The 10,510-nt window shown below is 34.4% G+C and overlaps 1 long non-coding RNA gene across 1 annotated transcript; it reads right to left on the bottom strand.

Moving 5' to 3' along the window:
* Positions 1-6,583: 6,583 nt before the first annotated feature.
* LOC107985650 (uncharacterized) lies at positions 6,584-8,413 on the bottom strand. The gene is made up of 3 exons (XR_001755996.2): positions 8,312-8,413; positions 7,447-7,638; positions 6,584-6,912 (listed from the first exon to the last, which is right to left on the bottom strand). It is a non-coding gene; the product is annotated as an uncharacterized LOC107985650 (long non-coding RNA).
* Positions 8,414-10,510: the final 2,097 nt, after the last annotated feature.

Raw genomic sequence — 10,510 nt, 5'->3', positions numbered from 1 at the left:
GCTTAATATATGTGAACTTAATATACCTCAGTGCACAGCCTTCTTTGTTTGCTTTAAAGGATGTTAGCTAGAAAAAGATTCTTCCTTGAAATTAAAGCTCTGAGTGAGATGTCATGCCAAGGCAAAGCAGATAGAACTGAAGAACACGCTGCCCCTTGTATAGAAGGCCTGTATTATCTGGAAATTTACCTACATTTATGGTATTATGTATTTTTTCAGAGAGAATGACATCTTTTAATTTTTCTCTAATAGCAAGTATAATACTTGATATGACAATCTGCTTTCAAAAAGGTCCCTTTACTAAACTCAGAAGAATCAAATTTTGTTTGTTCATTGAGAGTAAACTCTATTTCCTGTCCTGTATCACATTAGATTCCTTTCTACATTTCACTACTGAAATACCAATAGTAAGCGCATTTATTATTTATGAGAGTAAAGCCCAAAAATGGACTGTAGCATTTTCTGATTAATTTATGAGATAAAATTTCTTAAGTATAAATTTAGTATAGTATATCCAGTATCTTAAAATTATTTGGTACTCTATTATCTGAATAAGATGAATTGTATAGCACTTTATCAAACAGAATAGTAGGTTAACCAGAACATTCCATGCTCCAACTGTGATGGATTACCAAAGAAATTGGTGATGTCGAGCCCTTTCAGAATATAAAAATGGGGTAATTTATCTCCTTCCCTTCCCCAAATAATTAATTAGTAATGAAAAGAACAACAATGCTAATGTAATAGCTGACACTTATTCCATACTTATAACTACCGCACATATATCAACTAATTTATTACCCAGAATGACCCTGAGGTAGGTCCTATTATTATCCCTGTTTTAAAGATGAAAACAAAATGAAGCACAAAGATGTTACCTGCTTTTTCCATGGTCACACAGTTCAGTCGCAGAGACAAGGTAAGAACCTGGATTATCTGACGCCAAATTAATGAGAAAGAGTTTGAATAATCCAGGTTTTGGAGTTAGATTTATTCCTTGCTAACTGTGTGACATTGGGCAAGTCATTGAGTCTTTTGCTCTTTGTTTTTATCTTTAAAATGATAATAATAGTTAACTTACTGTGTTTTGTTTTAAATGCAATAATATGTGTAAAGCTTTTAACACAATAGCAGACCACATATTAAATTAACATTATCAATTTTCTCGAATTAATACTTGACCACAACAGTGTTTCTAATTTTCTTATTTTATTTTCTTTTTGGTCATATATATTTTAATATGAATTTGCATTCTTAATGCATAGAAGCAGGAATGATGAAAGAAAAAAAATAAATGAGCAAGTAAAATTGACACTGTGACCTTATATTTCTCTTAGTACTGTGGTACCCAGGCTGTGTATCCATTAAGCAAATAGTTTAGCTGATCCATTTTGCAGTAGCTCATATATTTAACTTTTATAGAGCTATTAATGAACTGTAAGGATAAAATTTGCATTCAGACACCTGAGATTTTCAAATAGTTTCCAGAAATTAGATCAAAGACACCAGGGAACAATATATAAAAATGCTTCCAAGCTCTTAAAGGTCTTGAGCACAGACTAAGTTTAACTTGGAAATTTCATCAGGAAAGAAAAGTCTTTGCAATTGTATTTATTGGTACTGTGGAGTAAAAGACTGTGTGTGTGTGTGTGTGTGTGTGTGTGTGAGAGAGAGAGAGAGAGAGAAAGAAATTAGTAAAAAGGATGAGAGAAGAGGAAAAGTATACATGTTGATAGGAATAAAGTAGAAATGTTACAAAATGAAGGTTAACAGATAACCTTTTCTTGTTGAGTAGCTTCTTCTAAGCTTGTCCAGGGTATTCACTTCTGAGCTATGTATCGTAACATGTTCTGTGGAATTTATAACCTTGCATTGATCGCTTGCTCTGAACGTTGCTTGCTAAATATTTTGTTTTAGTTTAAATAAAGGATTTTGTTCTTTTCCCAACTCCACAGTGTAAGCTTCTCAAGAGTATAACCTGTATATTATCTCACAGACTACTACTTTGTTCAGTATTCATATTTTTTCTTCAAAGGGCTACCTAATCAATTTTGTAGAATAAATTGATAAATTCAAACACCTATAAGATTTTTTCTTTTAATTAAATGCTGGTTTTGGCGGTGGGTAACAATGCCAAGTACTGGGTAATTTTATATCTACTATACTAAATTTAATTAAACAAGCCTGATAAGCTCAAATGACAAATGAAAGATTGTCCCTAAGTAGGAAACTCCTCTAATACATATAAAGTGTAATTTAATTTTTAAAAATTTAGGATATGCACAATTCTTCAGGGAAATGCTTATTGCAAATATGAGTCCCACTATACTTATTAATTAAGCTCTTCTAACTAGCAATTGTTTGCAGTAAATTCTGATATGCTACCTTAGAATAGGAACTTTGGATAATTTTCAGAAATTTAAAAATTCAAAAACATACACAAAGTATGAAAAGCAGTTCTTTTAACTTTCATTACATATAAAAATTCTACTTTTTTACATGTCTGTAAACATATAATGTCATACCCATTTTGAAAATCAAATTTCCGGTTGCTACACAAAAGTCATGTGCTCCTCCTAACTTGCATGATAAATGTAGACTTGTATTTATTTTAATTTTTTGACTCCTCTCAGCTCATACCTAAGAAATCTAGATTTTTAAAAGACATGCTTTTGGTAGTGAGCTGAAGACAGAATAGACACGAATTTAGTTACACCTGCAGTCACTGGATGACATAGCAAAATCAAATGTCTATTCAGTTCACTATTCAATCCTTAGCTGCATTTCAAGAATAACAGGTGCAACGATTACGTAGTTTGAACCTAGACTGCAGAAGATTAAGACATGAATTGGAGTCAAACCGTTAAAAAATTCCTCATAATAACTTTAGCAAACTATTGTATCCTTCTTGTTAAGGTACCAGTTTTCTTCTCCAGAGGCAACTACTTTCACTGAATTTTTTTTTGGTAAAATAATTTTACACAAAGAAATAGATAGATAGCTCACCTTTAAGAATTAGATACTGTTTTGCATATTGCTTTTAGTTTTCATATATCATACATGTGATTTTATATTGGTAGATTTAGAACTACCTCATTCTTCTTTTTTTTTTTTTTTTTGGTTACCTGTCTATTTATTAATAGACCTTATTTTTTAGAACAGTTTAAGTACATAGCAAAACTGAGAGGAAGGTACAGAGATTTCCCACACACCTGAGGCCCCACACATGTATGGCTTCCCCAACTAGCAACATCCCTCACTAGAATGGTGCGTTTATTCCAATTGATGAACCTTCACTGCTACATCACCATCACCCAGAGCCCATGGTTTATTTTAGGGGTCACCCTCCGCATTGTACATTTCGTGGGTTTGGACAAATGTATAAAGACACGGATCCACCATTACAGTCTCATGCAGCGTAGTTTCACTGCCCTAACCATCCACCGATCAATTTTTTTTTTTATTTTTTTTTAATTATACTTTAAGTTCTGGGATACATGTGCAGAACGTGCAGGTTTGTTGCACAAGTATACACTTGCCATGGTGGTTTGCTGCACCCATCAACCCATCATCTACATTACGTATTTCTCCTAATGTTATCACTCCCCTAGCCTCCCACCCCCCAACAGGCCCTGGTGTGTGATGTTCCCCTCCTTGTGTCCATGTGTTCTCATTGTTCAACTCCCACTTATGAGTAAGAACATGCAGTGTTTGGTTTTCTGTTCTTGTCTTAGTTTGCTGAGAATGATGGTTTCCAGCTTCATCCATGTCCCTGCAAAGGACATGAACTCATCCTTTTTTATGGTTGCATAGTATTCCATGGTGTATGTGTGCCACATTTTCTTAATCCCGTCTATCATTGATGGGCATTTGGGTTGGTTCCAAGTCTTTGCTATTGTGAATAGTCCTGCAATAAACATACGTGTGCATGTGCCTTTATAGGAGATTGATTTATAATCCTTTGGGTATATACCCAGTAATGGGATTGCTGGGTCAAATGGTATTTCTAGTTCTAGATCCTTGAGGAATCACCACACTGTCTTCCAAAACAGTTGAACTAATTTACACTCCCACCAACAGTGTAAAAGCATTCCAATTTCTCCACATCCTCTCCAGCATCCATTGTTTCCTGACTTTTTAATGATCACCATTCTGACTGACATGAGATGATATCTCACTGTGGTTTTGATTTGCATTTTTACAACTATTTAGTTAACATTGCACAGAAGTACCACATTTTATCTGACCAGTTCTAATTGATAAACATTTTTTAGTCTTTTGCTGCTATAAATATGCTGTAATGAATGCCCTTGGATATTTTATACATCTGTGAGCATATGTATAAGATATAGCCCAATAATTGTATGTATGTGCTGAGGTGTAGGGGATTATGTGTCTTAAATGTGTCTCTTGATGGGAGCATACATTTTGATATTTATACAATATTTATTCTGTCCCATTTCTATTCTCCTTCCACATTTTATGCATCTGCTCACCAGTATAAATTTATACTCCCACCATTTGAGAGTTCATCTAGATTTTCCCAACAGTTGAAATTGTCAATCATTTTAATTTTGGCCATTCTGATGGATATGAGTAGTGTCTAATTGTAATTTTATTTTGCTGATTACTAGTAAGGTTGAGTGCCTTTTCTTAGACTATGAGTGATTTTTTGTTCTTTTGTATTAGTAAGTTTTGGATATGAGTTCTTGATCAGTATTTTGAGTGTGTACTTTCATTCTGGTATATATTTACATTATCTTACTGGTAATTGACAAGAGTTACTAATTTTAATATAGCTACAATTTATCAATCATTTTGTTATGTCTATTTCTTCTCTCAATCATAAAGATATGTGTTATGCTATCTGCCAAAAACTTTATTATTTGCCTTTATCACTGAGATAAATAATTTATATGGCATGTATGTGTCTGTGGTGTGCTGTAAGGTAAAGACCAAGTATCTTTTCATTCATAAAAATTTTCATTCTGTTTGAACCAGCATCATTTTCTTGGAAAAACAGCATCCTCTCTCCATTGTATGGTGGTATTAACTTGGTTACTAATCAATTGTCCATAAATGTATGAGACTGTTTCTGAACTTTCCATTATGTTTGATCCATCCATTATTGTATTGTTGCAGGAATGCACACTCTTTATAAAATAATTCATAATGTTGCCTTTTATTCTGATATTGTGGGGAACTATAGTCATTTTCAAAAGCAAAATCAAGCTTGTATTTCCAGAATAAACCCATTTGCTGTTGGGTGGATGCTCAGATCATTGATATTGAGACAATTTTCTTTTCTAATGTATGCAATTATGTCTGTGAATATCCCTATAAACAAAGTTTAGCTGTATCCCATATGTTTTGATATGTTATATTTTTATTTTTATTAGTTCAAAATGTTCCTTAACTTTCCTTAACTGTTATTTTCTCTGGTCAGTGTGTTATTTGGAAGTGTATTCATTAATTTTCAAACATATAAAAATGTTTTGTTTGTTTTCATACTTGCTGGATTTCTACCACGATTTCATTGTGGTTAGAGATCATATTTGTATGATTTTAAAACTTTGAATGTTTTTGAGATCTGCTTCATAGATAAGAACAATTTTTCTATGTATTTTACTTATTCTTTTTTTTTTTTTTTTTTTCTGAGACAGAGTCTCGCTCTGTCGCCCAGACTGGAATGCAGTGGCCCGATCTTGGCTCACTGCAAGCTCCGCCTTCTGTGTTCACGCCATTCTCCTGCCTCAGTCTCCCCAGTAGCTGGGACTACAGGTGCCTGCCACCATGCCCGGCTAATTTTTTGTATTTTTAGTAGAGACGGGGTTTCACCGTGTTAGCCAGGATGGTCTCGATCTCCTTACCTCGTGATCTGCCTGCCTCGGCCACCCAAAGTGCTGGGATTACAGGCGTGAGCCACTGCGTCTGGCCCATTTTGTCTCTTAACGCACATGCTGGAGTGTGCTCACCCAATTCCTAAGCTGCCAATTACCAATTTCAAATGTTTTTATCTGTAGAGAAACTGCCTCTCGCTGGAACCTGCGATCTATTATTTTATTGTCATAACTGTGCACCTTCAGAAAATGGCATCTCCCTGGTGCTGGCTGCCAATTATCATTTTTAGAGAGGAAGTGTGATAGATGCCAAACCATCACCTGATGATCACCTGACATTCCTGGTGGGTAGTGGGAGGGGGGTCCCTCTCCTGCCCTGCTCATGCCTGACTACCTGTAACAATAAGACCAATTTGTTTGCAAAATAAATTTTGTTCTCATTGTACTTGCCATGGTTATTTGCATAAAGTGTAGCAAGCATAGTGATCAGCCATATAGACTCCTTTTAACCTGGCTTTGCTGGAACTTTTATAAGGAATTTTAGACTCAACGTTTTAAAATCCTCAAGGCCAGAAGCCAACCCAAGGATTTACCCTTAGACTTTGCTTATAATATCTGTACGAATTCCTCTCTTCTTGAGGTCCCCAAATGTTTTGGGGTTCCTGGGCCTATTTTTAATAGAAAGTGACATTCTTTACAAAGAATCCTTGTAAAGGAACCATTTAGAAAAGGTACTAACTAGGTCAGTCTTTCCAAGGGAATTTTTATTGGCTCCATAAACTTGACCTCAATTCCTCAATCTGGTCATATTTGAATATATGCCATTCCAGTCAAAGCCTTGATAAAATAATCAGTGTCTCCAATTGTGTCACAACTTTTCTAAGCTGTAAATAGCTAGAAAGAAAATAGGTTCTCTTGATTCTTCTTCAGAGTAACAGCCTTCCCAACAAGATGTTGTCCAGTCTCCCTTGAAACGCCTTCCACAAACCAAGTAGCTCTTTGTCAGTCTGATGAGAGCTGTTTCTTGGGCACTATAGAATCCAGCAGCTTCTTAAACACTTCCATATTAGTCCTGAGGGAAAAAAGGGACTGTGAGTATTTCCTCCTTACATTCTTTGAGAAGCAAGATCCTATATAAACCATTTCAATTTTTTCATGGAACTCTTCTGGGCACTGCTATTTTCATTAGCATAAGGGTAGCTTCAGTTAACATCCCATAGCAAGGTGTTAAATACCCCTCAAGTGGAAATTCTCTAGAGCAAAGTCCCAAAAGTTGTTATTGCAAGGTGCTCACAGGCATTTGCCATAAGCCCCTGTAAATGCTTCACAAAGCCTGTTAGATGGACAATTCATCCCAACTCGTACTCCAGTTTCTGCACTACAGTCTGTGGGCTTGGGCAATCTTACTTGTTCTCATTTAGCATGTCCAATTAATATTGCTCAAGGGCAGATTTTCAAGCCTTCTGTTTTATAGTGGTAGGTAGAGAGAACATCCTTTAGTTATATATAATATTCATTTTCAGAAAGCATTTAGGTAATGGAGACACAACTATTTTATATTAGTCTGTTTAAACATTTCAAATTTCATAAGTATATCAACCCTTACATTTTTATGTTCTGGTCCCAGTAACTTCCATTTCCACTCGCAGACCATTTTACCCTTTCTTGTGTAAAAGAATTTGAGTTCCCAGGAGGGGGTTGGGTCAAAGGATTTGGATCCTTTTGTCAATCTTATCTTGAGGCAATTGTTAGTGTTCTCATTATAACCTTTTTCTTCTAATTTTATTTTTTCTCCAATCTGCAGTAAATAAAAAAAAAAATTGGTTTGGTTGAGATCCTTTAATGTTAGCAGACCAGCAAGGGACCTTTTTGATCTACCCAACTTTGGCTTTTGGCTTTGAGGATTTAAGACCTTCATTTTAACCACATCAATTTACATTTTATTCATCCCATTTCTTAATAACCATCTAAAATTTTCTACCCTGCCGGGATGAGTCCCATGACCTCTTCCTTTCCTTTTTCTCTTAATATCACCCCATCAATGTTTTTAAAACTTACTTTTTTAAAAAAATAACTATTTAAAATGTTTTACCTTCCTGGGATGAGTCCTTTGATTCTCATGTTCTTGTTACCTTTTGTTTTCCCCAAGTTCTTCTTGTTAATTAACCTAATGTTTCCATTAACATCTGTAAAGACCCACAAGGGGAAGTTGAGACAGCGAATTTGAGAAGCCTTTCTGAACTGTTATTCAGTTTTGCAGTAGTGATGAAACCAAAGGGGACACCCTTTTCAATAGCATGTACCATGACCTGGGTAACAGGCCTATTCCTTGGGTGCATATCCTGTTTATCCTAAAACTAATCTCCCATGGCTTGCATATAAAGCATATCAGCTGCATTATCTGGGGTGCTGTTCTTGGCAATTTTAGGGGGAGTTGGATAGCCCCTCTTCTCAGAGTAAACAGAACTTACAGTGGTTTTATCCAGTCCGCCACGATAGCTGTTCCCTTGGAAATAACCTCCTGTGTGTCCGGATCATATGTATCTATTTGGAATTGTTCAGTATTGAGCTGTGGGTCCTGCATCAATGGAAACATACTCTTTTACTATAGCATTTAAAATCTAAGACATTGTTCCCAAATTAGTTATGTTCACAATCCATTTTAGTAAAAGTTTATCAGTGAGCTGATGATACCCATCTACAAAATGGAACAATTCCTTCATATCATATCCTCTAGTCTCAATAGTTACTTGGTTTTGCCCCTTCCCCACTTTGACTGCCTTCTTGGTAAGCACAGGTCTCAGAGGTACTTTCTTTTGTCCCTGGCATAATTTTCCCCTTTGTGAGTAGCTTTGAATCTAGTGATCTGAACTCGGACAGATCCACATCTGAGGTTGGTCCAGCCTCAAGGCATAACCCAGCACTCTCTTTTACTTTTATTTTAGCTGTTATAGATAATAACCAAAGGATCGAATATTTTGCTTTTTGCTTATTAGTTTCTTTCTCCTTATACATCCATTGAACCAATCCCCCAGGAGTTTGAGCCATCTCTAAATTCTACTGGTAACAGTTACCTTTAATAACTGAATGCAGCACAGCTACAGCTCCATACTATGGGTGACTACATGGCCACACAGGAATCAAATGTTTCTCATTCCACACCTTTTTATCTTTTCTCTTTCTATCTATTTAGTTTTATCTATACCATTTTTTCTTTCATTTTGAAGCAACTTTTAAATAGCCTCCAAATTAGACAAAATTGCTTATTCTTTAAGCCAAAAACATATCCTCATGTTTTTATAACTTTTACCAAAATAATCCTACTTTCTTTTAGTATTCCATATGTAGAATGGTTTTAATTACATATATTAACTACTATTCTGCTCTTAGTCTCTAATTTCCAATGATAAACCTGGGTTTAAATTTAACATAACATGTCTTTATCATTTTAAATTACTGAAAAGAATTTTGAAACTAGTTTTATTTACCAAAGATTATTAAAGTCATGTGAACTAAAAGGCGTTTGACCTAGCTTCTATTTTTCTAATGCAATATTTTATTTGAGCACTTATTTTTTCTTTAAGCCAATTGATTAGAGCTCTTTCACATGTTTTGTGGTGAAATATCACATACACATGACACATATACACTGATAGATGCAACAGTGAATCTATCAGTGATGGAACAGATAGAAGTGGATTTCATAAATTTATAGATTTTTTTATTTGTCAGTTTTCAAAGTTTCTTTCCCCATATTTTGTTAGGATATCCAAAGGATTTTGCTTTATTTTTGAAGCTTAGAAACTTTACTAGCTTGTGCTTTGGTGTTGATGGCTGTGTTAATTTTTTTTTCCTTGTTACTCAGTGTCCTAAAGTGTATATACATAACATTTTCTTATTTTCAGAAAGGATTTATAAATAATCATTTTAAACATTGATTTTATATTCCATTTATCTGATTCTCTTCTTCAGTGACAGCAAATATGCACAAGTTGGCTCTCTTGCTTGTTTTCTATTAAATTTAAATTAAATTAAAAACTTTCTGACACTGTTAATATTCATGTTTTTCTTACAAACTTTTATCAATTCTCTTTTTTATATTCCTTGTTGTGTTTTCAACTGTTTACTTTTCTTTATGGTATTTCAAATATAAGGTGACTATTTTTTCTGACTTTTGTTTTTAGTTTTTCTGGCTCATGTTTTATCTCATATCATTTTGCTATATCTTCTCTGACACCTTGTATCTTCGTTTTGAGATCCTATTTTAAAGATATAGTTCTTTAATGCATTAATTTACAATAAAATATTTATGTTATTTTTTACTTCACAGGATTTGTATTAGCATTATTTGCCTACCATTTGTATTTTATTTTAATATTTTTAAAAATTTTAGTGGGTACATAGTAGATGTATGTATTTATGGAGTCCATGAGATGCTTTGATACAGACATGCGATGTGAAATAAGCACATCATGGAGAATGGGGTATCCATCCCCTCAAGTATTTATCCTTTGAGTTACAAACAATCCAATTACATTCTTTGAATTATTTTAGAATAGACAATTACGTTATTATTGACTATAGTCACCCTATTGCAGTATTAAATAGTAGGTCTTATCCATTCTTTCTATTTTTTGTACCCATTAACCATCCCCACCTCTATCCCTTCA

This window comes from Homo sapiens, chromosome X (genome assembly GCF_000001405.40).
Source record: "Homo sapiens chromosome X, GRCh38.p14 Primary Assembly".
NCBI classification, from domain to species: Eukaryota; Metazoa; Chordata; class Mammalia; order Primates; family Hominidae; genus Homo; species Homo sapiens.
The sequence above is the reverse complement of the archived record's forward strand: the minus strand, read 5'-3'. Positions and strand labels throughout refer to the sequence as shown.